The 27,834-nt window shown below is 43.6% G+C and overlaps 4 annotated features.

Annotated features, from left to right (window-relative positions):
- Positions 18,302–18,361: an enhancer, noted in NCBI's record as "active region_2787". NCBI's record gives its function as "activates an Ori minimal core promoter by ATAC-STARR-seq in GM12878 lymphoblastoid cells {active_cell/tissue: GM12878}" and the evidence as "EXISTENCE:reporter gene assay evidence [ECO:0000049][PMID:35858748]".
- Positions 19,490–19,539: an enhancer, noted in NCBI's record as "active region_2786". NCBI's record gives its function as "activates an Ori minimal core promoter by ATAC-STARR-seq in GM12878 lymphoblastoid cells {active_cell/tissue: GM12878}" and the evidence as "EXISTENCE:reporter gene assay evidence [ECO:0000049][PMID:35858748]".
- Positions 19,620–19,679: an enhancer, noted in NCBI's record as "active region_2785". NCBI's record gives its function as "activates an Ori minimal core promoter by ATAC-STARR-seq in GM12878 lymphoblastoid cells {active_cell/tissue: GM12878}" and the evidence as "EXISTENCE:reporter gene assay evidence [ECO:0000049][PMID:35858748]".
- Positions 19,720–19,769: an enhancer, noted in NCBI's record as "active region_2784". NCBI's record gives its function as "activates an Ori minimal core promoter by ATAC-STARR-seq in GM12878 lymphoblastoid cells {active_cell/tissue: GM12878}" and the evidence as "EXISTENCE:reporter gene assay evidence [ECO:0000049][PMID:35858748]".

Raw genomic sequence — 27,834 nt, 5'->3', positions numbered from 1 at the left:
TCTATAGGGATAACCAAGATTTCTTTCTTCTTTAATTTTTTAAAGGAGAAAAATTTGTTTTTTTAGTTAATTTGTTTTTTTAAAGTTAAAGCAGGCTGGCTGTGGTGGCTCACGCCTGAATTCCTAGCACTTTGGGAGGCTGAGGCTGGTGGATCATTTGAGGTCAGGAGTTCAAAACCAGCCTGGCCAACATGGTGAAACCCTGTCTCTACTAAAACTATTAAAAAAATTAGCCAGGCATGGTGGCAGGCACCTGTAATTCTAGCTACTTGGGAGGGTAACGCAGGAGAATTGCTTGAACCCGGGAGGTGGAGGTTTCAGTGAGCTGAGATTGTGCCACTCCACTCCAGCCTGGGCAACAAGAGTGAAACTCCATCTGAAAAAAAAAAAAAAAAAAAAAAAAAAAAAAACAGAACAAAAGTTAAAGCAAACTTGCATTTTAAAATGTAACCTGTCTTGGTTATTCCATATTAGCTTTTTTATACACTGCTAGATTTAACTTGATAATTTTTAAAAAAGAATTTTCAGTCTAAATTTATGAGCAAGTTTGGCCTGCAATTTGGAGATCTTCCCTTGCCCTTCCAGATGTGCTTGCTCCTCTTACTCCACCTTGCCCACTGCCCAGCAGGGCTGGCCCATGTGAATTTCTTCACTGAGGTCCTGTACCCTCTGGTTGACAGCTGGATCAGGCCAGTGGGGAACCCTGGCAGGAGACTGGAGGAAGGGAGGATACTGTGTTCATTTCAGGCTGGTTATATTTTTTGAGACATGAGTTGCTGGCTCTAACCACTCTCTCTTCTTCTGAGGTCTGGTAAGCTTCCTCTTCCCTGGTTCCTATCTCAAGAACAAGATCTCTTGTTGTTCCCCTTCAACCACACATTGTAAATAAATCTTCTCCAAATTATCCTATTTCATTACAATTTTTTATGTTGTTTTTTTAGAGACAGGGATCTCACTATGTTGACCAGGCTGGTCTCAAACTCCTGGCCCCAGTAATCCTCCTGCCTTGGCCTCCTGAGTAACTGAGATTACAGGTGCAAGCCACTGTGCCTGACTTAAATTATCCTACTTCCATGTATTATTTCTGTTGGTATGGTCACTGATGAAGCTTATAACTTCCCTTTCTTATAATATTATTGTTGGGTTTCACAATCAAGACTATGATAGTTTCATAAAAGGGGTTGGAGACTGCTTCTTCTCTATGTATACTCTGGAATAGTATGTGTTTCTTGGTAGAACGGGTTAAAACTTTGGTAGGATTTGTTGGCTCTTTAGTGTTGCATCTTGGCCTTTATTTATTTATTTATTTATTTATTTATTTATTTATTTATTGAGACAGAGTCTGGCTCTGTCACCCAGGCTGGAGTGCAGTGGTGCAATCTCGGCTCGCTGCAACCTCCCCCTCCTGGGTTCAAGTGATTCTCCTGCCTCAGCCTCCCAAATAGCTGGGACTACAGGCATGTGCCACCATGCCCAGCTAATTTTGTAATTTTAGTAGAGATGGGGTTTCTCCATGTTGACCATGCTGGTCTCGAACTCCCGACCTCAGGTGATCCGTCTGCCTCAGCCTCCTAAAGTGCTGGGATTACAGGCGTGAGCCACCAGGCCTGGCACATCTGGGGCTTTAGTGTTGCATCTAAAAAGTCATCACCAAATCCAAGGTCATCTACGTTTTCTCCTACGTTATCTTCTAGGAATTTTATAGTTGTGCATTTGTGCACTTTACATGTAGGCCTATGATTCATTTTGATTTTTTTTTTTTTTTTTTCGAGACAGAGTCTCACTCTGTCACCCAGGCTGGGCTGCAGTGGTGAGATCTCGGCTCACTGCAACCTCCACTTCCTGGGTTCAAGCAATTCTCCTGTCTCAGCCTCCTGAGTAGCTGGGACTGTAGGCACACGCTACCAAGCCCAGCTAATTTTTTTGTAGTTTTAGTGGAGACAGGATTTTGCCATGTTGGCCAGGCTGGTCTCGAACTCCTGACCTCAAGTGATCCACCTTCCTCGGCCTCCCATAGTGCTGGGATGAGCCATCTTGCCTGACTGTATTATTTCTTTTCTTCTGTTTACTTCAGAATTAATTTGCTATTTTTTCTAGTTTTCTAAAAAGGAAGCTTAGATTATTGATTTTAGATCTTTCTTCTTTTCTAATATATGTATTCAAGGCTATAAATCTTCCTCTATGCACTGCTTTTGCTGCATCCCACAAAATTTGATAACTCACACTTTCATCTTCATTTAGTTCAAAATATTTTTATTTCTCTTGAGATTATTTTATTGAATTTTAATTTTTTAAAGTGATAAAATTGTGTGTATTATTGTGTGTAACATGATGTTTTGAAATATATATTTTGAAATATATATATTATATATATATTTCAATATATTATATTTCTAGGTATATTCCACTATATACATACAGTAGAATGGCTAAATTGAGCTAATTAACATACATATGACCTCACAAAATTATCATTTTTTTGGTGAGAACACTTACAATCTACTTCACATTTTCAAGAATTTGATACATTGTTATTAACTACAGTCACTAGGTTGTACAACAGGTCTCTTGAATTTATTTCTCCTGCCTAACTGAAATTTTGTATCTTTTAACCAACTTCCTCCCCCTACCCCCATATCTCTTGAGATTTCTTCTTTGAGCCGTGTGTTATGTAAAAGTGCAGTATTTAATCTCCAAGTATTTCGAACACTTCCAGCTTTCTTTCCATGACTGGTTTTTAGTTAAATTCCATTTTAGTCTGAGAGCAGACGTTTTATAACTTTTGTTTTTAAAAAATTGTTAAGGTGTGTTTTATGGCCCAGGATGGGATCTATCTTGGTGAATGTTCCATGTGAGCCTGAGAAGAATGTGTATTGTGTTGTTGCTGGAATGAAGTAGTTGATCGATGTCAATTACAGCCAGATGACGGATGGTGTTATTGAATTCCACTATTCCCTTATGATTTTCTGCCTGCTGAGTTTGTCCATTTCCGATAGGAGGTGTTGAAACCTCCAACTATAATAGTAGATTTATCTATTTCTCTCTGCAGTTCTGTCAGTCTTTGTCTCGTATATTTTGATGCTGTTGTTAGGTGCATACACATTAAGAATTATTATGTTTTCTTGGAGAACTGACCCCTTTATCATCATGCAATGCTTCTCTTTATCCCTGATAACTTTCCTTGCTCTGAAATCTGCTCTGCCTGACATTAATGTAGCTACCCCTGCTTTCTTTCGATTAGTGTTAGGATGGTATATTTTTCTTCATCCCTTTGTTTAATTGATTTCCTGTAGTTTCAATACAATATACCTAGTATAGTTTGTTTTTTTTTTTTTGTATTTATCCAGGTTGGTGTTCTCTGAGTTTCCTAGATCTGTGGTTTTGTGTCTGACATTAATTTGGGAAATATTCTCAGTAATTACTGCTTCAAATGTTTCTTCTCCTCCTTCTTCTCCTTCCTTTTTTTTTGAGACAGGGTTTCCTCAGCTGCCGAGGCTGGAGTTTGGTGGGGTGGCTGAGCTTGCTGCAACCTCTGCCTTCTGGGATCAAGTGATCCTCCTACCTCAGCCTCCTGAGTAGCTGGGACTACAAGGGCGTGCCACCACACCTGGCTAATTTTTGTATTTTTTGTGGAGATGGGATTTCACCATGTTGGCCAGGCTGGCGTCGAACTCCTGAGCTCAAAAGATACGCCCGCCTCGGCCTCCTGAAGAACTGGGATTATAGGTGTGAGCCACCATGCCCAGCCTCAAGAATGTTTCTTCTGTTTTTTTTTTTTGCTCTCTTTCCTCTCCTTCTGGTATTCCCATTATGTGTCTGTTACATCTTTTGTAGTTGTACAACAGTTCTAGGATAATCTTCTGTTTTTCAGTCTTCTCTCTCTTTGATTTTTCATTTTGGAAGTTTTTGTTGTCAGATCCTCAAGCTCAGACAGTCTCTCCCCAGTTGAGTCCATTGAAGGAATTCTTCATTTCTCTTACAGTATTTTTAGTCTCTAGCATTTCTTTTTGATTTTTTTCCTTAGAATATCTATCTCTGTGCTTACACTGCCTATTTGTTCTTCCATGTTGTCTGTTTTATCCATTAGATTTCTCAACATGTTACTCATAATTATTTAACTGGCCGGGTGCCATGGCTCACACCTGTAATCCCAGCACTTTGGGAGGCTGAGGCAGGCAGATCACCTGAGCTCAGGAGTTCAAGACCAGCCTGGGCAACCAGGTGAAACTACAGGAAATAAAAAATAAATAAATCTTAAAAGAATCCAGAGGGAAAAAACACTTTATGAGGAGCAAAGATAAGAATCATATTTACTTTCTCCTCAGAAACCATGTAAGGAAGAGGAGAATGGAGTGAAATACTTAAAGTGTTGAGAAAAAAAAAAAACCCTAAACACCAGCCCAGAATGTTCTGCCCTGTGAAATTATTCTTCAAAAGCGAAGAAAAAAATAGACTTTTTTTGTTTTTTAGACGGAGTCTTGCTCTGGTGCTCAGCCTGGAGTGCAATGGCATCATATCGGCTCACTGCAACCTCTGCCTCCAGGATTCAAGTGATTCTCTTGTCTCAGCCTCCTGAGTAGCTGGGATTACAGGCATGTGCCACCACGCCTGGCTAATTTTTTGAATTTTTAGCAGAGATGGGGTTTCTCCATGTTGGCCAGGCTTGTCATGAACTCCTGGCCTCAACTGATCCACCGACCTTGGCCTCCCAAAGTGCTGGGATTACAGGCGTGAGCCACCATGCCCAGCCAACATAAAGACTTTCTCAGACAGGGAAAACTTAACCGAATTTGTTGCCAGTAGACCTGCCTTGCAAGAAATGATAAATACTTCAGAAAAAAAGACAATGATATGGATTAGAAAGTTGAATCTACAAAAAAGTAAGAGAATTGGAGAAGGAAAAAGTGAAAGTAAGATAAAAATTTTTATTTTTCTTATTCATAATTGATCTAACAGTTAAAAGTTTGTTTAAAATAATAATGGCTCTGTCTGCTGTCATAATAAAATACCATAGACAGAGGTTTAAACGATAGAATTTATTTTCTCTCAGTTCTGGAGCCTGGAAGTCTGAGATCAAGGTGCCAGTGTGCTCAGGTTCTGGAGAGGGCCCTCAACCTGGCTCTCCTCACTCTGTCCTCACATGGCAGACAAAACAAAAGAAAGCTCTCTGTTGTCTCTTCATATAAGGGTAGCAATACCATTAGACCAGAGCTCTGCCCTCTGGACCTCCTCTAGTCCTAATTACTTGCCAAAGGCCCAATCTCCAAATATTATCACATTGGAGATTAGGGCTTCAACATATGAATTTGGGGGGAACACAAACATTTGGTCCATAACACATATGAATAAATGAAATGAATGAAGACAGTAATACAAGAGATAGGAATGAGAGATTGGTATTATTTTGTTATTATATTTTATTTTTTTGAGACTGAGTCTTGTTCTGTTACTCAGGCTGGAGTGCAGTGGTGAGACCTCTGCTCACTGCAACCTCCACCTCCCAGGTTCAAGTGATTCTACTGCCTCAGCCTCCTGAGTAGCTGGGATTACAGGCACCTGCCACCATGCCCAGCTAATTTTTGTATTTTTAGTAGAGACAGGGTTTCACCATGTTGGTCAGGCTGGTCTTGAACTCCTGACCTCAGGAGATCTGCCAGCCTTGGCCTTCCAAAGTGATGGGATTACAGGCTTGGGCCACCGTGCCCGGCCTATTTTATTATTATAAAGCACTAGCATTACCCATGAAGTGGCATGGTGTTATTTGAAAGAAGACTTGGATTAGCTCTAAATGTACACTGCAAATTCTAGGGCAACCTCTAAAAAAAACTTTAAAAAATGATTATAACTGATATGTTAAGAAAGGAGGAAAAAATGCTCAATTAACCCTATCTCTGCAAAAAAAAAAAAAAAAATTAGCCAGGTGTGGTGGTGCATGCCTGGAGTCCCAGCCACTTGGGAGGCTGAGGTAGAAGGATTGCTTGAGCCAGTGAAGTCGAGGCTGCAGTGAGCCGTGATTGTGCCACTGCACTCCAGCCTGGGCAACACAGCAAGGCCCTATCTTGAAAAAAGAGAAAACTACAAAAGGCAGAAAATGAGTAGGAAACAAAAATAGGAATAAAGAACAAGGGCAATGGAAAGAAAATGGCAACAAATATCATAGATATTGACCCAACTATATCCATAATAACTTTAAGCATCAATGGTCTAAATACCTCAAGTAAAAGACAGAGATTGTCAGAGTGGATCAAAAAACAAGACCCAACTATATGTTGTCTACAAGAAATCCATTTTAAATATAATGATACATATAGGTTAAAAATAAAAGGGGCTGGTGGCAGTGGCTCACACCTGTAATCCCAAAACAATACAAAAATTAGCTGGGCGTGGTGGTATGTGCCTGTCATCCCAATTACTTGGGAGGCTGAGGTGGGAGGATCACTTGAGCTTGGGAAGTGGAGCCTACAGTGAGCCCAGATTGAGCCACTGCCCTCCAGCCTGGGTGACAGAGCCAGACTCGTCTCAAAAAAAAAAAAAATCTTAATTATTTAAAATTTCTGGTCTGATATTTCCACCGTCCCTGTCATCTGAATCTGGTTCTGATGCTTGCTTTGCCTTTCCAAATTGTGTGTGTGTGTGTGTGTGTGTGTGTGTGTGTGTGTGTGTGTGTGTTTTCTTTGCCTTTTACTATGACTTGTACTTTTTCTTGATAGCTGGACACGATGTACTGGCTGGAAGGAATTGTAATATAGTAATCTACCGAGTAGCTGGGATTACAGGCGCCTGCCACCACGCCCGGGAGCCCTTGAGGGCAGGCCTTGTTAAGAAGAACAGAATGCTCCAGCATATTTTAAAATGGTTCCTTTTCCTCCCCACTGCCATGAGTAGGTTTTTTTCTGTCTCAGTGTGAGAACCTGGTCAATCTCAAGGAGGTCAAAGTCATAAAAGTGTGGGTCCTCCTCTATGACTGGGTCCCCTTGGAGTTTTGAACTCTTAGGCTAGTCCACACAGAGCTCCCAGAAATCGGTCGATTGTAGCTTAGATTTCTCTGCTGTGGTACTGGTTTCTGTGGAAGTTTCTGCTCATGGGTTTCTGGTTTGGTAGGTTGTGATTCTCTGTATTTGCATATCTGTCTCTTCAACTCTGGGGACAGTGATTTGCCATGTGACCTCACTTCTCTGATGGACTTCAGAAGAGTTGTTGATTTTTCAGTCTGTTCAGCTTTTCACTTGTTGTTAGGATGGGGTGATGACTTCCAAGCTCCTTAAATGCCAGACGGGAAACCAAACAATTGAGAAGTTTTAAATAGATGTCTTTTTAATCAGATTAAGGAATTTTTCGGCTGGGCACAGTGGCTCATGCCTGTAATCCCAGCACTTCGGGAGGCCGAGACAGTCGGATCATTTGAGACCAGGAGTTTGAGACCAGCCTGGCCAACACAGCAAAACCCCATCTCTACTAAAAATACAAAAATTAGCCGGACATGGTGGTACAAGTCTGTAATCCCAGCTACTCGGGAGGCTGAGGTACAAGAATCCCTTGAACCAGGAAGGTGGAGGTTGCAGTGAGTTGAGATTGTGCCACTGTATTTCAGCCTGGGCGACAGAGCCAGACTCCATCTCAAAAAAAAAAAAAAAAAAAAAAAAAAAGAGAGAGAGATTAAGGAAATTTCCTTTTACTTCTGATTTGTTAATAGTTAGGAAACTTTTTAAAAATCATAAATGGGTGTGGAATTTTATAAAATGCTTTTTCTGCATCTATGGAGAGGATAATAAGATTTTTCTCCTTTAACATTTAATATCAGTGGATTTTAAAATATAAAATCAGTCTTGAATTCCTGAGATAAACTCAACTTTGTTGTGTTGTGTTTTGCTTTTATTTATTTTTTATTTTTTTTTGAGACAAAGTCTCACTCTGTCACCCAGGTTGGAGTGCAGTGGCGTGATCTCGGCTCATCGCAACCTCCTCCTCTCAGGTTCAAGTGATTCTCCTGCCTCAGCGTCTCGAGTAGCTAGGACTACAGTTGCCTGCCACCATGCCCAACTGATTTTTGTATTTTTAGTAGAGATGGGGGTTTCACCGTGTTGGCTAGGTTGGTCTCGAACTCTTGACCTCAGGTGATCCGCCCGCTTTGGCCTCCTAAAGTGCTGGGATTACAGGTGTGAGCCACCGTGCCCGGTTGTTTTATTTTTTAAAAAATATGCTATCGCAAGAAAAAAAAATATGTGGTTGGATTTGGTTTGCTAATATTTGCTTGGGAGTTTTTGCATATTTATTCATGAATTAAATGGGCTTAGAATTTTAAATTCTCAAATTTTTCTTGTTTAGGTTTTGTTGTCAAAATCACACTGGCCTCATAACCGTGGAGTTGTTGAGTTGTTCCTCATTTTCTATTTCTTGGTACATTTTTAAAAATATTTCTTTGTTCCTTAAGTTTATTAGGATTCTCCTGTAAACTGTTTTGGCCTAGTGTTCTCTTTACTAGAAAATTTAGACTACTGGCCTAATCCATATTTCTTTTTATTTTGTAATCAGTTTTAAAAACCAATTTTTCTAAGAATGTATACATTTTCAATGTTATTAGCACAAAGCTGTTGAAGTACTCTCTTATCCGTCTAATCTCTGCTGTATTTATAGGTATCAGTTCCTTTTTGTGTTATTATTTATTGTGAATTTTCATATTTTTTCTTCATTATTCTTTTTAGAGGTGTTTTTAAATTACCCTCTTCAGAGGTTAAAAATAATTTTAATAACTTTTTTCTCTTTATTTGCTTGCTTTTTGTTTCATTAATTAATTAATTAATTAATATTATTATTATTATTTTGAGATGGAATCTCACTCTGTTGTCCATGCTGGAGGGCAGTGGTGTGATCTCAGCTGACTGCAAACTCTGCTTCCTGGGTTCAAGCAATTCTTATGTTTCAGCTTCCTGAGATGACAGGAGATGACAGGAGCCCACCACCATGCCTGGCTAATTTTTGTATTTTTATTAGACATGGAGTTTTGCCATGTTGGTCAGACTGGTCTCGAACATCTGGCCTCAAGCAATCCACCTGCCATGGACTCCCCAAGTGCTGGGATAACAGGCGTGAGCCACTGCACCCTACCTGTTTCAGTAATTTATGCATCTATCTTTATTATCTCCTCCCCTCTACCATACAGGTCCCTTTATTCTCCCTCTTTCTGTTATACTTCTCTTATATGTTACATATATGTGTGTGTATATATATATGAAAGCTCATTAGAAAATATTACAATTTTTGCTTTCAGTCACCAACATGTTTTAAGAAGCTCAACAGGAGAATAATGTATTCATTTAGATATTTACCATGTCTGTTTCTTTCATTTCTGATGTTTCCAGTTTCCTTCCAAATACCGTTTTTCTTCTTTCTGAAGAACTTTATCTAGGAATGCTTTTTTTTTTTTGAGACTGAGTCTTGCTCTGTCACCCAGGCTGGAGTACAATGGCATGATCTCGGTTCACTGCAAACTCTGCCTTCCGGGTTCAAGTGATTCTCCTGCCTCAGCCTCCCCAGTAGCTGGGATTACAGGTGCATGCCACCATGTCTGGCTAATTTTTGTATTTTTAGTAGAGACAGGGTTTCACCATGTGGTCAGGCTGGTCTTGAACTCCTGACCTCAGGTGATCCACCCACCTTGGCCTCCCAAAGTATTGGGATTACAGGCGGGAGCCACTGCGCCCGGCCCTAGCAATTTTTTTAGAGAGATCTGCTGGCAGTGAATGTTAGTTTTCCTTCCATTGAGAATGTCTTTATTTCATCTTCCTTTCTGAACAATATTTTTGCTGGCTGCAAAATTGTGGGTTGACAGGTCTGTTTTTTCAGCATTAAAAAAAATGTGCCACTTCCTTTTGGCCTCCATAGTTTCTGATGAGAAATCCATAGTCATTTCAATTTTTCTTTCTCTATGGGCATTGTGGCATTTTTCTTTTTCTTTTTTTTTTTTTTTTTTTTTTTGAGACGGAGTCTTGCTCTGTCACCTAGACTGGAGTACAATGGCATGATCTCGGCTCACTGCAACCTCTGCCTCCCCGGTTCAAGTAATTCTCCTGCCTTAGCCTCCTGAGTAGCTGGGATTACAGGTCTGCACCACCACGCTTGGCTAATTTTTGTATTTTTGGGAGAGACGGGGTTTCACCATGTTGGCCAGGCTGGCTTTGAACTCTTGATCTCGTGATCCACCCGCCTATGCCTCCCAAAGTGCGGGGATTACAGGCGTGAGCCACCGCACCCTGCATTGTGGCACTTTTCTCTGATTGTTTTAGAGATGTTTTCTTTGTTTTCAGAGGTTTGCTTATGATGTATCTTGGCATTGATTTCTTTGAATTTATCCTAAATTCAAAGAAATTCAAAGATAAATTTCTTTGAATTTATCTCTAAATTTATACTGTTTGCTAAATTTGGGAGTTTATATATAACTTTATGGTGTCACTTTGCCAAGCCCCTTCTTCTTCATGATTTCTTTCACCATGTTGCCCAGGCTGGTCTCGAACTCCTGAGCCCAGGCAATCCACCTGCCTCGGCCTCTCAAAGTGCTAAGATTACAGGCATGAGCCACCATGCCCAGCCACTTGTTCAGGGCTTTCTTATATGCTGGGGCTCATCTTTCTAGTCCTCTTGCCAGAAATCTGGGCTTTCATTCCCCTTATCTGTGATGCATCTTCTACCAGTGTACCATGGCTGGGGCCAAGCAGCAGGAGGACTGAAGAGGGGAAAATGGTCAACTTCCTGCCAGCTCAGCAGTAATCTGAATTCTTGTCTTCTGATTTTTTCTGCCTGCTGCTATTTACTTTTTTTTTTTTTTTTTTTTTGAGACAAGGTCTTGTCGCTCTGTCACCCAGGCTGGAGTACAGTGGCATGATCATGGCTCACTGCAGCCTTGACCTCCCTGGGCTCAAGCAATTCTCCCATCTCAGCCTCCCAAGTAGCTTGGACCACAGGCATGCACCACCATGTCCGGCTATTTGTTTTTGTATTTTGTAGAGATGGGTTTTCATCCCCGTCTTGACCTCTTGAGCTTGAGCAATCTGCCCACCTGGGCTTCTCAAAGTACTGGGATTACAGGTGTGAGCCACAGCTCCTGGCAGGTTATTTACTTTTTATTTTTTTGAGACGGAGTCTCTGTTGCCCAGGCTGGAGTGCGATGGCACTATCTTGGCTCACCGCAACCTCTGCCTCCCAGGTTCAAGCGATTCTCCTGCCTCAGCCTCCCAAGTAGCTGGGATTATGGGCGTGTGCCACCATACCTGGCTAATTTTTGTATTTTTACAAAGAGACAGGGTATTTCCATGTTGGCTAGGCTGGTCTCAAACTCCTGACCTCAGGTGATCCGCCTGTCTGGCCTCCCAAAGTGCTGGGATTACAGGCGTGAGCCACCGCGCCCGGCTATTTACTTTTTAGAGTCCTCAGCTTCTCTGTGCATTGTGTTCTGGCATTTGGTGGGGGAGACAGGATGGAATGTGGTTACTCCATCTTCCCCAGAGCTGGAATTTTAGAGTAGGTCTTTGTAAACAAAACTCTCAGTTGCGGGTTTTGAGGACCACCAAATTTCCAGCTTGAGTTATTTAGGGCCACTAAAGCAGATAAGAACAGCAGACTCACATGTGGGCTGGCTTGAGGTTACAGATTCTCAGGGTAGGTTTTTCCCTTTTATGCTATGCCAAGCCTCAAGACAGCAATCTTCTCTGCAATCCCTGGTCTAGTTCACCTTTCCACTAAGAGTGAGCTAGCGTTGGCCAGGTGCGGTGGCTCAAGCCTGTAATTCCAGCACTTTGGGAGGCCGAGGCGGGTGGATTGCCTGAGGACAGGAGTTGGAGAACAGCCTGACCAACATGGTGAAACCTGGTCTCTACTAAAAATACAAAAATTAGCCAGGCGTGGTGGTGGGTGCCTGTAACCCCAGCCACTTGGGAGGCTGAAACAGGAGAATCGCTTGAACCTGGGAGGCGGAGGTTGCAGTGAGCCAAGATCGCGCCATTGTACTTCAGCCTGGGCAACAAGAGCGAAACTCTGTGTCAAAAAAAAAAAAAAAAAAAAAAAAAAAAAAGAGTACGCTAGCGTTACAGGAAGCTCTAGGTGTTTCTTATTAGACTCTCCATCTTATCTCCTGTTTCCTGCACTTCTCAGATTACTGAGCTTGACCAATGTCCTCAAGGTAAACGTTGATTTTGGTGCTCGCTAGGTAATTAATTTTACTTAAATCTCTTCACATTCTTGACTTTACTTAGTATTGCCCTCCAAGTATTCCTTAGTTTCTTGGTTGTCTTCAACAAATTATTATTATTTAAAAAGTAGTTTGTTCAATATTTTGGGTTGTTTTCAGCAATTGGATGTGTCAGCTTAGCAGTCTACCATATTGCTGGAAACGGAAGTCTCTAGAAACATGCTTTGAGTTCCTCATCATGCTCATTACTTTGCTAGTCTTGGAAAAGGTAACTTTATAAATATGTGATGCTTTCCTTAAGAGGCTTCTCATTTTAATATATTTATTTAATTTGTCTTATTTGAAACAACATTTGGAGATGATAATGAAATACAGTATTTTTTTAGACTTTGCCTATTCATCACTTGTATTTATCTATACAAATGTAGCCAACACTGAATGCCTGATATGCAAATGAAATAAGATATGCGAAAGTACTTTGAAAATGGTAAAGCACTATATAAATGTAAGATGTTATTATCTAAATAATTGAAAGTCTTTTTATATTGGATCAGATCATGGATTACTGGTGAGGACTCAATGAAAAAGAAAATTCATAACAAATGCCTAGTGGAAGCCACAGAGGCTGACGAGGAGACGAGTACCAGGTGTTCCTCACCTGATGCCCAGCACCTCCTTTCACAGGTTTCAAGGAGCTTCTGCACATGAACTTGAACTAGAGTTTCTTACAAAGCAAGTGGAGGGAGTCAGTTAAGCAAAGCATTCCTTGGGGCCAGGCGCGGTGGCTCATGCCTGTAATCCCAGTACTTTGGGAGGCTAAGGCAGGTAGATCACCTGAGGTCAGGAGTTCGAGACCAACCTGGCCAACATGGTGAAACCCCGTCTCTACTAAAAATACAAAATTAGCTGAGCGTGGTGGTGCACACTTGTAGTCCCAGCTACTCAGGAGGCTGAGGCAGGAGAATCGCTTGGACCTGGGAGGTGGAGGCTGCAGTGAGCCAAGTGCACTCCAGCCTGGGCGAGACAGAGTGAGACTCCGTCTCAAAAAACAAAAAAACATTCCTCGGAAAATTGAATTGCTGGATTTGATTTCTGTACAGTCATGACTCTGGGCTGTTTAAAGGGTGTTTTATAGTTTGTTGACAGTGATGGGAGGACATGCTGATGTGTTATTTGTGGTATTTACAGGGTCTGACATCAGGAACAAAACATGTGTTTCCATATTTTGGACTCTTTCTCGTTGGCTCCTCCATGGTGGCACATCTACATTTTATATCTCAGAGGACTGTGAAGTTTGGCATTCTCTGTGCACCTTACTGAAACCCATGGAGGGCACAGGGTTTAGAATGGTTAGGAATGCAGGCTTTGGAGGCAGCCACCCCTGGGCTCATGCTCGGCTCTGCTGCCTTGAGCTACGTGACCTTGGCGAGTTCCTTCCCCTCTCTGAGCCTGGTTTTCCTCACCTGCAAATGGAGATCATCATCCTCAGCTCCTGTAGCTTTGGTGAGACTTCAGTGAAGCCAGCCACAGAGTGTGTAACTCAGTGATTGGCACATAGGGGCCTTTCAGTAAGAAACGACCCGCCTATCATCCTCATGCTATGTTCAGGGCAGTGATTCTCAACCTTGGCTGACCATTAGCCTCGCCTGGGGAGCTTTGAAAAACTCTGTGGTTCAGGCTACACCCAGAACCATCACGGCAGAATCTCTGGGTGTGCCATTAGGATGAGACCCACTGTGGGGGCCATCGAGGAGAAGAGCAGGGCTGTCAAGGCTTGTGTGGAGATGCTAACACTCCTGCAGGAACCCCCTCCGCTACCCAACCAGCTCACCCTCCACATGCTAGTCTCGTGGGGGCTCCAAGGGGCAGAGCTGCTGGTGGGGGGATAGCCCAGTGTGTGCCACGGCCTTGAGGTTGCAGGGGGCAAGGATGACTTGAGGAAGCAGAGGAGGGCCACGGAGGCTGCAGGGCAGAAGGTGGGTGATATGGTTTGGATATGTGGCCCCACCGAGATCGCATGTGTAACCCCAATGTTAGAGGTGGGGCTTGGTGGCGGGTGATTGGATCATGGGGGTGAGTGGATCCCTCATGAATGGCCTGGGCTGTCCCCTTGGTAATAAGTGAGCTCCGCTCTCAGTTCACATGAGATTTGGTCGCTTAAAAGGGTGTGGCCCCTCCCCACACACTCTCTCTCTCGCTTGCTCCTGCTTTCGCCATGTGACGTGCCTGCTCCTGCTTTGCCTTCCGCCATGATTGGAAGCTTCCTGAGGCCTCCCTAGAAGCCAAGCAGATGCCAGCACCATGCTTCCTGTACAGCCTGCAGAACCATGAGCCAATTAAACCTCTTTTCTTCATAAATTATCCAGTCTCAAGTATTTCTTTATGACAATGTAAGAATGGCCTAATACAGTGGGTGAGAGAGGCCCATGGTGAGACAGGAGAGGTCTGTGGGTGCCCTGTGGGATTTATGTTCATAGGATCACTCTGGCTTCAATGTGGGAGGAGAGTCCTTGGGGGAAGGAGGCTATTGCTGTGTTTTCATTGAGACTGGCCGTGCTAGCTTAGTCTAGGAGTCCATGTGGAGGGGAGTGGACAGATGCAAGAGACATCCTGTGGGTAGAGTGGACAAGACTCGTGCGGAGTTGAAGGGGCAGACGAGGACCTAGGTAGACAGATGCCGTGCTTGGATGTTTGTTTTCTCCAAATCTCATGTTGAAATTTGATCCCCAGCACCACCAGTGGGGTGGCGCTGGGAGGTGGGTCCTTGTGGGAGGGTTTGAGTCACAGGGGCATATCCCTCATGAACAGCGTGGTGCCATTTTTGTGGAAGTGGATTTGTTCTCAAGGGAATGGATTAGTTTCCATGCGAGTGTGTTGTTATAAAGCCAGGATGCCTCTCAGGTTCTCCCTCTTCACACGTATCTGCTTCCTCTATGACCTTCTCCACTGTGTTTTAACCCAGCACCAGAAGCAGCACAAATACTGGCATCATGCATCTGGTACAGCCTGCAGAACTGTGAGCTAAGTGAACTTCTTTCTTTCTTTTTTTTTTTCAGATGGGGTTTCGCTCTTGTTGCCCAGGCTGGAGTGCTATGGCGTGATCTTGGCTCATTGTAACCTCCGCCTCCCAGGTTTAAGAGATTCTCCTGCTTCAGCCTCCTGAGTGGCTGGGAGTACATGCATCCGCCACCACACCCGGCTATTTTTTTTTTTTTTTTTTGTATTTTTAGTAGAGACGGGGTTTCACCATGTTGGCCAGGCTGGTCTTGAACTCCTGACCTCAGGTGATTCACCCGCCTTGGCCTCCCAAAGTGCTGGGATTACAGGCATGAGTCACCGTGCCCAGGCAACCTCTTTTCTTTACAAATTGCCCAGCCTCAGGTATTCCTCTATAACAACAGAAAATGGGCCAAGACAACAGAGCAAAGTTTGAGGCTGGTGTGAGCTTTTGTTCCAAAGAAGTGCCCAGTAAGTGTCTGTCGTCTCTGCAGAGGCTGATTCCGGGTGTGATCTTGGCCATCTTGCTTCACCTTGGAAGCCTCAGTTTCCTCATGTATAAAATGATAGGATTGGAGTAGTGCTTCCAAGAGTTTTGTGCCCACTACATTCCACGCTACAAGGAGCCTCACAGAGTGCAGGTCTCGTAGACTGGCCATGAATTTGGCTTTCATGTTTCTAAGGCACGCCCGACTGCTTATTTCTGAGAAGGGCCACCAAGCCCTACAAGACCAGAATTCCCATCTGCCTTTAGCAATTTTTTAAAAATGAGAGAATCACATATAAATATATATATTATAAATTTAAATATATAAATTATATATAACTATATACAATACATATATTACATATTATATTTTAAATATATTTGTATTATATATATTATATTTTAAATATATATATTATATATTTATTATATATATTATATATATAATATATAATATATATAATATATATTATATATATAATATATTATATATTTATATTTATAAATATAATATATATTATATATATATAACATATATATATAATATATATTATATATTTATAATATATACATATTTTTTGAGACAGGGTCCTGCTCTGTCATCTAGTCTAAGCTGAAGTGCAGTGACGCCATCATAGCTCACTGCAGCCTTGACACCCCCAGGCTTAAGCGATCCTCCCACCTCAGCCTCCCAAGTAGCTGAGACCACAGGTGTGCACCACCATGTCCAGTTACGTTTTTGCTTTCTTTTTTGTTTTTGTAGAGATGAGGTTTCGCCATGTTGCCCAGGCTGGTCTTGAACTCCTGGGCTCAAGGGATCTCCTGCCTCAGTCTCCGAAGTGCTGGGATTACTGGAGTGAGCCACTGCACCTGGCCTGCTTTTAGCAATTTTTTAGTGAACACTGTGGGCCATATGTTGTGTCATAGATGGCCATCCTTGTTCTTATGAGAGAGGCCCTGTGGTCTCCTCAGCTTCTGGAGCTGTTTTCTTCTTCCTGGCTAGGGTAGAGGCTCCATCCTCACTGTTCCTCCAGAGTGAGGACAGAAGCTCCGCAAGAAGCGGAGGACCTCAGACAGGCTCTGCTGCCCATGCTCAGGATCTGGCCAGAGCAGGCAGCTCTTGTGATTGGGGTGAGAGGCAGATTTGTCTCTCCTTCACGGTTCACTGTCACTGGGTCCCCATCCTCAGAGCAGGTTGCAGATGGCCGTGGAGCAGGCTGAGCATCACTCTGTTGTGAGTCCTGTCATCTGTCCCCTGAGGCTCTCCCCAGTGACGCCCCTTCCCACAGGCCTCCTGCCCTTCTCCTTTCTTCTCACTCCTCCTCACCACTAGGTCTTTCAGTGGATTTTTCCTCCTTAATACTCAAAGGGTGGCCTTCGTGTCCAGACCTGGTCGCTCAGCATATTTCAACCTCCTAAATGCAGTGACCAGCTAAACAATGAGGCTAAAGACACAAACTGGCTCAATGAAACCCAATCCCAGCTGATGACACAAACTGGCTCAGTGAGACCCAATCCCAGTGCTTTTCCTAGAGCTGCTGTTCTCTGGGCTGCTCAGTGAGGATGTGAGTCTGGGGTCACTGCCAGCTGTTTTCCTTCCCTGGGAGGGGAAAACTTGCTTAAGAATAACACCAAATAACAAAAGCAGAGACAGGCACTTCAGAACATTGTCTGAGCTGTGGGCCCAGCCATGCTTAAAATCTATTCCCAGACCTTCTCAGCACTGGGGCAGTTTGTTATTTTTATTTCAGAGACAAGGTCTTTTTCTGTTTCACAGGCTGGAGTGCATTGGCACAATCATAGCTCCCCATAACCTCAAACTCCAGAGCTCAAGTGGTCCTCCTGCCTCAGCCTCCCTAGTTACTAGGACTACAGGCGTGCCACCACTCCTGGCGAATTTTTTTTTAATTTTTTTATTTTTTGTGGAGACAGGGTCTCTCTATGCTGTCCAGGCTGGTCTCAAACTCCTGGCCTCAAGCGATCCTCCTGCCTAGTCCTCCCAAAATGTTGGAATTACAGGCATGAGCTATTGTTCCCAATCTTCCAATTTGTTATTTTTTTTCCTAAGCTACTAGTCACCAAGCGCTCTGATGAACACAGCTATCTTCACATGACCACGGGGTCTCAGAGAGTTCAGTCTAACCACTGGAAACAAATATTTTGTTGGACTCACTGCAGAACAGTGGACATAACTGAAAAATCAAGGGCTTTGGCATAAGACAGGATTGATTGGGTTTGAAACTTGACCCTGCTGCGTGACACAGTCTGTGAGGTTGGGCAAATTTCTCTAATACTCTGTGCCCTTGAGCTTGATCATTTGTGCAATACCGTGCTCCGATTAGAATACTCATGTCTACTGGAGAAACCTTGAATATAGGAAATTTGAATTATATGAGCACATTCTCTTCATGCAGAATTAGTTGAGTCTTCTGCCTCTGCATTAGAATTGTGGTCACTGTGATATGGTATGAAGGAATGACCTCCAGAGAGGTTAATTGGCTTCTCCAAGGCAGAGCACATTTCTGTAGGGTCAGGCTGAGGGGTTTGAGTGAGGAGTCCTATAGCTTTGGCCACCATGAACCTCACCAAGCATCCTACCCGCAGCAGCAGGCAGGGCGTGTGGAAGCCTCTCTCCACGGGGCCAACCCTCTAGGATTTCTGACTGGAGCCCTCCCACCCCTCCCCCGAAGGCTTTTCTGGATTGAAGAAATCTGTCCACCGTGAAAGTTTCATGTAGGCTGACAGAGAAATCCCCTTCCTCGTGGTGCCTGCTGACTTTCAGAAGCAAGCAAGACGGCGGGGAGGAAGTGTGGGAAAGGACTCAGATGAGTGTGGGGTCTGGGCAGTGCAGACACTTTGGGGCTGATGGTGACAAAAGCCAACAGGTGGAAGCAGTGCATGGGGAGGATGTGTAAGAGGAGACCACAGGGTGTCTGGGGTCAGAGGCTGCTGCAAAAATAACCTGCATCCGGACCAGGGATGGCCAGGAGTCAGTTTTCCAGATTTAACAGCAGCCTTCTGCCCTGGTGGCAGCCCCCAGGGCCACCTCTCCTGTTTATTTTGTACTGTAATGACATGCAATCAAAGAGCTCTATGGGCCCGGTACCTTAGCAGAAAAGTAAAGCTGGGAGATGGAGTGTGCAGGAACTATAGGAACAAAGGCTGCTTTCCGGCCAGTATTAGCATCTACGCTTTGTAGCCTACGAGAATGAAAAACAAACACCCTCAGTTGTTTAAGAGCTACGTTGCATGACTAAGGCAGTGATTTACAAATGGGGATGAAACTTTGCTGATGGGTTCCAGTGACTTCAATGGACCAAGAAAAGAAGACTTATTCCCAAGGTCTGCATGGCTGCCGGGGAGGGCTATTTATTATCATCTAAATCACAGTGACCACGTGAAGCTGTCCCAGGCAAGGCTGTGTAGCCTTGGTCGCTTGTCGGCTGCTGTAGGATCTGGTTGGCTTGCCACCTTGTCCAAAGATTCTAATTCATGACAGGGCTGTCGACGTCTAGAGGCTGTTCTGTAGGATCCCCATGGGCTCTCCACAGCTCTCTGGTATTTTTCCACACTTTCCTGAAACTGGATTCTCCCAAGGCCTTTTCTGGGCCTTCCATGATAACAGCTAAAGCAACATGCTTTCCATCCTTGTCGTGAGAGGGGAGTGTCTTGGTGAGGAACTTGTTTCTGATTTTCAGCTGACATCTTCCTTTCCTCTCCATTTCATTCCCGTTACTTCTATAGTATGGATACTGCCTGGGCCCTAACCAAACAGTTCCTCTCTCTCTCTGTGGCCAGCTCCTGCTCACACGCACGGATCTGGTGTGTGATATCCATCCAGCTCTGCCAATGTATTCCCCCGCAAGGCTGTCACTTGCTTTTCTAGCTCATTAATCATCTTTGTTGCTTTTCTCTGAATTTTCTCTGAGTTGATCTCTCGTTTCCTGGACAGAGGAACACAGAACAGCTGCTGCTTCACAGGCAAAGTACTGAAGAGAGCTCTTCTGTCTGGTCACAAAATCGTCCTTCTCCTCCCAAGCACGTCGTAGTGACTGCACCTGGGGCTGCGTGGAAATGCTATCAGCTTCCAAGGAGCTTGGTGTAAGCTGGGTCTGTCCGGGACTCCTTCCAAGCAAAGGTTTTTACTTTTTTTCAGAATTAAAAAGGGCTTCATTATGAAAAGAAAGTCTCTCACCTTATAAAGCAGGCTCCTAACAGGGACGAAGAAAGTGCTGTTCTGAGGAGGAGAAGGTATTCAGAGGGCCCGTGCTCATTCTGCAGGAGACATGGAGTATGCCTGCCGCCCGCCTCCAAGTCAGGACCCCAGGGCTGGAGAATCATGGGTCCAGGATAGCGGGGGACGGAGAGAGTGTAGGACCTCCCTCTACTCCTTACATTTTTAAAGTGAACAAACAGAGGCCCAAGTCATTGGCATAGTTTACCTTTGGGGCAGGAGCCTGGTATAATAAAGCAATCAGGGCCCGAGAATCAAAGGGCTGGTGTCATCCACTGGCTATAAGATCCTGGCTTTAACTTCTTTCCACCTTAACAACTTTTCAGTGAAGATGGAGTAATAACAATAATAACAGTAATAATGCCAATGAAAAAGAAGCGTCCACTCCCATCTGTCTTTGGTTTGGGGTGACCTAAAGGGTGCCCATCTGGCCCCAAAGAACAGGAATGGGAGCTCTTGCTCCCATCCTTGCTGGGTGTCCAGGGTTCTAATGAGACTTCCAAGTGTCTCGGATGCTGTGGGGTGGCTGAGCGATTTGCATTGATGTTATTGGGGGTACTCAAAGCACTGGCAGGATATTGATCGTACTTGTGGGGAGACACTGATGGTCCTGCTCCACGGGGAACAGAAAAGCCAGCCAGTGAGACCTCACATCACAGCCCTGGAGGAGTTCCAACTGGGGGCAACCCTTGCCCCTGCAAGCAGGCTTCCCTTTCCGTGCAAGATGTGGCACTCTCGTCCCATCCACCCTTCGGGCACTCAACTCCTGGGCATTGCTCCTTGTCACCTGGCACTGCCTCCAGAACTTAGGGGCCCCCAACCACCTATAGGTTCCCAGACCTGGTGACTGAGTCCCTTTAACACATCTGAGTTCACTCCTTCTTCAGACTGGACCCCCTTTCCACAAAAGCCCTGCTCCCACTAAACTGGCCCCTATGCCCTTAGATCCACAAAGACTTGTTTGTCTTCCTGGAGGACAAAGAGGGCCTAGTCCACAGCAAGGTCAGGGAGGGACAGTGTTTTCATTCCTTCCAAGTGCCTCCCCTTCCCCAAGGAGAGACAGAGAGCTCTAGCTAAGTGTGTGCACCTGTGTGAGTCACACTAGGCTGGGCTATCCTGACCTCACATGGTTTTTGGGAGAATTGACTGAGATCATGTAGGTAAAAATGCCTCCCAAGCATGAAAATGGGATACAAATATGAGCTGCTGTTGTTTCTTCAGTACGAAAACACTTTTAAAAAAATTTAAATTATATTTATTTATTTTTTGAGACAACGTTTCGCTCGTCACCCAGGCTGGAGTGCAATGGCGCAATCTCGGCTCACTGCAACCTCCATCTCCCAGGTTCAAGCAATTCTCCTGCCTCAGCCTCCCGAGTAGCTGGGATTACAGGTGCCCGCCTTTTGTATTTTCAGTAGAGACGGGGTTTTGCCATATTGGTCAGGCTGGTCTCAAACTCCTGAACTCAGGTGATCCTCCTGCCTCGGCCTCCCAAAGTGCTGGGATTACAGGCATGAGTCACCACACCTGGCCCCTATTTTTATTTATTTATTTATTTAGAGACAAGGTCTCACTCTGTCACCTAGGCTGGAGTGCAGTGGTGGGATCAGAGCTCACTGCTCACTCAAACTCTTGAGCTCAGGTGATTCTCCCCCATCTGTCACCCCCCAGCCTCCCAAGTAGCTGGGACCACAGGCATGTGTGCACCACCATGCCCTGTTATTGTTTTAATTAGTTTTTATAGAGATGGAGGGGGTGGTCTTGCTATGTAGTCCAGGCTGGTCTTGAACTCCTGGCCTTAAGTGCTCCTCTCCCTTGACCTCCCAAAGTGTTAAGATTATAGGCGTGAGCCATTGGGATGGGCCTGAAAACACTTAAAGGGAGAGTGGGCCAGAGCTTCATCCCTGCAAATAATTGCTGCAGCCCAAAGTATCCTTGCAATTGCTAGGCATTTGTAGGGCTGGTCGCAAGAGAATTGGGACCTACCTTTAAGAAGCAGGGTGTGTGACAAAACAGGAAAAGTGTCATCCTTTCAAAGTGAATACTGCAGGACATTGCTGATCAATCTTCTTTTCTCCCTTGCCCAGGCGTGGGGATGCATGCCATCAGTCTCACGATAATGGATGATCGTCCTGAATAATACAAGATTCTCTGAACATTGCTTTCATGCTGTGATGTAATTGCATTGCTGATGTAAGGGGGCCTTCTTTTTTGTACTTGGAAATCTTTGCTGTTTAGAGGAGTAGATATTTTCTTATGGCATTGTTTATAGTGGAATTTGATTTACAGGACAGAAAAGAAGATTTGTGTGTAGACTACCATTTGTCTTCTTCAATTACGTCTATTTTCTCCTCTCTGTGATTTTAAAAGATTTGTCTTGCAATACCTGACTCGGGTCTCACAACCAGTCATTTCAGAGCTATGCTCAACTGGCCCTGTTCTCCCAAACATGCCCTTTCTTCTAGATAGTTTGCTTCTCCCTGGTGATGGGATTAGTGTCTAGACTGGGGATTCATGGTGGCTTTTCCTTGCCACATACTCCATCCTCTTTCCACCCACAGCTGCTCATGCCCAATTCTCACAGCCATTCCTTGAATAAATACGTTCTGTCTCTACAGCAAATTCTTTATCCCCTTGATGCCCAAGGAAACTGATTCACCACACTGAGGTTTCTGTCTGGGTACTGCTTCCAGACAACCCAAGCCATGTTCTAGCTTGCCGGTGGGATCTGGGTTTGGGTCTGGTCCTTCCCTGTCTTTGTTTTGCTTCATTTGATCTCCCTTTGGATGCAGTCTCTCCCTCTTTCTGTCCCATGATTGCACACAAGCCTATGCCCAGCCTTAGCTATAATCCAAGAGAAACTCTTGGTCAGTGCAATGCAAAGCTTCTAAAACTTGATGGGAGGTGCTCAGGCACATGTAACTCTTCTCTTGAATCAAGCATGCCCAGGCCAAAGGGCGAGTGTGTGGGCGTAAAGTCATGTGGTTTCCCATCTCAAGTTAATGTTATTCAACACTCTTGGTGGCATTTTTAGGGGCTTTGATGGTGGAAAGAGAAGCATTTTCTCCAATTTAGGAAAATAACTACTCAGTTCTGCCTGGAATTAATTTTCCTTGTTCAATTATTTTTAATCAAATGGCATTGTGAACCAGCTTCTGTGAACTTGTTTAATTCTTCTGTTGTGTTTTTGTGGGTTTTTCCAATATTCAGAAAAGTATTTCACCCTTTTAAGAAGTCCCGACAAGAAGTTACAGGGAATTAAGGGACCAGATTGTAAAATGGACATGGACCATTCATTATGGAGGAGGGGGCTGTTGACAGATTTAGGAGCCCTGCTGTAAAGAGAGAACCACTGTGTTCTCCATTTTGTGGAGTCAAGATCTTATATCAAGACTTGATATATACTAGAGCAGCTGGGAGCTCAGAGTCCTGTCTCCAGGGTAAGGGGAGAGAGTGAGAGCAAGACAATCATAGGTCAACAGACAAATATTAAGAAGACAATTCATTCTTTCCACAGGCATCTAGTAGCATGCTTGGGAAGAAGAGCTCAACCTTTTCTCAGGCAGTATGGTGGGACAGAGCCTCGACATTCTTTGATTCTTTTTCTGTTGAGACATGGCACCTGTGTTCATCCTTTTGCCAGGCTTGAGACTACTTTGACCTGTAAATTGCTGGGGAAGTGACGCTGTATGGCTCCTGAAGCTGGGTCTTGAAAGGCAATGCAGATTCCTCCATGTTTGCTGGGGCACTTGCTCTTGGGTCTCTGTAACCAAGTAAGAAGTTTGATTGCCCTGAGGCAGCCATGCTGTCAGGAAGCCAAGCCACACTGGGAGGCCACATGGAGATCTCTGGCCAGCATTCCCAGTCTTTGAGTCAGCTGAGCTCTGATGCCAGACACAGGAGTGAACAAGCACTCGGATGATTCCAAACCCTAGCTGCCGAGTCACCCCAGCCTTTGAGCCTTCCCTGTTGAGGCCCCAGACATTGTAGAGCAGAGACAAGGCATTCTTTCTGCACCTTGTCCAAATTCCTGACCCACAGAATCCATGTGCCTGGTAAAATGGCTGTGATAAGCCATTAAGTTTTGGGGTAATTTGTTTTGCAGCAATAGAAACTGAAAAAGGAACCTGTGAATAATGGAAAAATAAAGCAGATTAAGGGGTTAGAGAGTGACAGCGGTGGGTTTGGGATTGGGGGCAGATATTTTGGATAGGGTACCAGAAGACTTCTCTGAGGAGCTGACATTTATGCAGAGAGTTGAACGATGTCAGCATGCAGGCATGCAAACATCTGAGGGAACATGTCCTGGTCATAGGGAAGAGCAAATGTAAACACTCTGAGATGGAAGTGAAGTTACTCAGAGATAGCAAGGTGGCCTATGTGCCTAGAGCTCCTGGAGTGAGGTGGAGAGTGACAGGAGATGAGGTGTGAGAGGGAGCCACATGTAAGGCTTTATTGGTCAAGATAAAAGATTTGTATTTTGTTAAAAGCCAATGTGAAGTTTTGAATAGGGGTGTATTCTCCTCACTCACTCCCTCATTGATTTTACCCAGGTTCCATATGCTGATCTTTTCCAAATATATATTTCTAACCCAGACCTCAGCTTCAAATGCCAGATGCTTTGTATAGCTGCTTACTCAGCTCTCCATATGGATTATTAGTAGACATTTAAAACATAGTATGCACAAACTACTAGCTTATTCTTGGCTCCCAAACCACTGCCTCCCACAGTCTACCCAATAGCATCAATGGAAACTTCATCCTAGCTGCTCAGGTATTCTGACATCCCGTGTTTGATCGACCAGAAAGTCCAGTTGGCTCTGCCTCCTGTCAGTTCTCCCTGCTTCCATCCTCACCCTCTTTCCATCTGTTCTCCTGGCACAAAGTGTGGCTGTTGAGAAGTTCGAGGATGACCTGACTTTCTCTCCCTTCTAAGCAGTGTGCTCTTCGTTCCTGGATGTCCAAGGGATTTTATATTTTTCTTTAAAGTCTAAAAATGTTATTAGAATGTATTTTGGTGTTGCTTGTATTGGGGTGATTCTGACTTTATGTAGTCTCAAATCTTTAGAAACTAATTTCAGAAAAATTCTCCCACTCCATTGTAGTTTTTAGTTTGTGTTCTTTTCCTCACTTTGGTTTTCTCTTTTGGGGATTCCTTTTACACAAATGTTGAATCTTCTTTGTCTGTCTTCTGTATTTGTTAATTTCTCTCAAGTCCCTCTTGATTCTTTCTTCATTTATTTTAATATAACTTTTTTTTTTTACTTTATACTTTCTATTTCTCTTAAGGAATTATCCACTGGATTTATGCCCTCTTGCCTTCTTTTTAATTTAAAAATAATTTCTAATGTGATTTAAAAAATTCCTAATACTTCCCTGAATTTTATCATTTTACTTCTGAGTTTTTCTTGCTCTAATTTATGTTGATCTTTTAGCTTGTTTTGAAATAAGCTGTGGATTTCATTCATTTTGTAGGCATGTCTTTATGATCTGTTTTATGGCTGTGGGGATGTGATTCTGTAACTTTTATCTTTTTTTCCTAAATAACTATATATTATTTGACTTTAATAGTTTTCTTTCTTTTGAGACAAAGTCTTGCTCTGTTGCCCAGGCTGGAGTGCAGTGGCATGATCTCAGCTCATTTTAATCTCCAGCTCCCAGTTTCAAGCAATTCTCCTGCCTCAGCCTCCTGAGTAGCTGGAATTACAGGCACACACCATCACACCCAGCTAATTTTTTTATTTTTAGTAGAGATGAAGTTTCACCATGTTGGCCAGGCTGATGTTGAACTCCTGACCTCAAATGATTCACCTGCCTTGGCCTCCCAAAGTGCTGGGATTACAGGTGTGAGCCACCGTGCCTGGCCTTTAATAGTTTTCTATTGAAAATTTTAATATAAACTAGTTTCTGTGAATCTCTAGAAGATACAGAGCTACTTGGCTTTTTTTTTTTTTTTTTTTTTTTTTTTTTTTTTTAAGCCTCACTGCTCTAAAGTTCTCTCTTCTGTTGTTTTCACAGTGTTTAGGAATGTGGTGGCTCACTTTTTGAGGTCTCTAGGCTCTGTGTTCCTCTTACCCCCTTTTTACCCTTTCCTTTGTCTCTTTCTTTTGTCTCTCTTGCCCCATGTGTTGCTCAAATTGGGTCCTATTCCTAGAAGTTTCTTCTCAGTGTGAGGCTTTGTCACAGAAGGAGTTTTGGTTGGTTAGTTTTTAGAATTTATGGGACTTTCTCAGACAGTTCTAGCCTTTTCAGACCTTTACTGCTGACTCCTTGAACTCACCCAGTATATGAGTGGGCAAAACCCTTCCCGTTTCAGCTCTTGTTCTCAAATTGACTCTCAGCTTTCCACTGAGTCCTCTTGGGTATTTGGGGATTCTCAGGTCTGTCACATGCACCGACTCCGCCTTTGCTTCCTTTTGTACAGATGGTAATTCTACTCAGAGCTGGGATCTGTTGGTGGTTTCACCCCACCCACTTGTATTTTGGAAACCATGGGGATACTTTGTTAGGTAGTTTTGTGACAAATATGGCAAATGGATTTTTGGTTTTGCTCTTCTCTAATACTTGTATTAACCTTTTTTTTTTTCTTTTGAGACAGAGTCTCATTTTGTTGCCCAGGCTGGAGTGCAGTAGCACAATCTCAGCTCACTGCAACCTTGACCTTGCAGGTTCAAGCAATTCTCCTGCCTCAGCCTACTGAGTGGCTGGGATTACAGGCATGCACCACCATGCCCGGCTAATTTTTGTGTTTTTAGTAGAAACAGAGTCTCACCTTCTTGGCCAGGCTGGTCTCAAACTCCTGATCTCAAGTGATTCCATCTGCCTTGGCCCCCCAAAGTGCTGGGATTACAGGCCTGAGCCACCACGCCCGGCTGTACTACCTATTTTTATGTTAGTATTTGGGGACATTAAAAAGTTATGTGATAGGCATCATCTCAGAATATTCCTCAGTCTGTATTCAATACATTATCTAGAGTGGTACTATTAAAATATACATCATCAAATCATGTAACTCCTCTGGGGAAAATGCTTTAATGGCTCTGCATACCACTAGAGCAAAAGCTTAAGTCTTTACATTGGTTTACAAGGTGGTGTGTAATCTGACTTTCTCCACCTCCCTTCCCTATTACTTCTCTGAACTCATTTCATCCTAAGTCTCCCCTTTGCTTATTTACTTATTTATTGAGACAGGGTCTAAATCTGTCACCCAGGCTGGAGTGCAGTGGCGCGCCTCCCTTGGTTATTCTGCATAGCCACACTAGCCTCCTTGCTATTTCTGCAGTATGCCAGGAATGGTTCTGTCTCAGGGTGCTTACACTTGCCATTCCATTGGTCTTTAAGTGTCACCTTCTCATTGAAACCTTCCCTGGTTGCCTTATTCACAACTGCTATCCCTCCCAACACCATCTATCCATGCCTCCTCATTTCCTGCCTTATTTTTTGCTGAGTGTATCACATCATATATTTTATTGATTAACTTACTTATTAATTTCTCAAACGTCAACTAGAATGTAAATTCCACAGAGGAAGGTATTTTGGGCCAAAAATTAAATTTTTGTTGAAGAAGTGAATGCATGAGTGAATATATTTCAAAAATCTTTTTGGTTTCATTGTGGAGAAGAGCAACGTGTAGAGAGACATAAATAGAAGGGGGAGACCAATTAGGAGGGTAACACAATAATCCAGGTAAGAGACTGTAGTGGAATTGGAGATAAGTCATTGAATTTGTCATCTATTTTAAAGGTAGAATAGGCAGATTTGCTAATTATGAACCTGGGTTGGCAGATGCTGCTTCATTGTTTGATTGATTAATTATCGTAACATGTGGGCATAAAAATGACTTGATGACTGTGAAAACCATAGTTCCTGGTCCCCATAAACTCTTAGTTTTTCATCGAATAATCTACCAGACGTGGTGTGGCTAAGGGAAACCCA

This window comes from Homo sapiens, chromosome 1 (assembly GCF_000001405.40).
Source record: "Homo sapiens chromosome 1, GRCh38.p14 Primary Assembly".
In the NCBI taxonomy this organism is placed as follows: Eukaryota; Metazoa; Chordata; class Mammalia; order Primates; family Hominidae; genus Homo; species Homo sapiens.
This window is presented reverse-complemented; position numbering and strand designations above follow the sequence as displayed.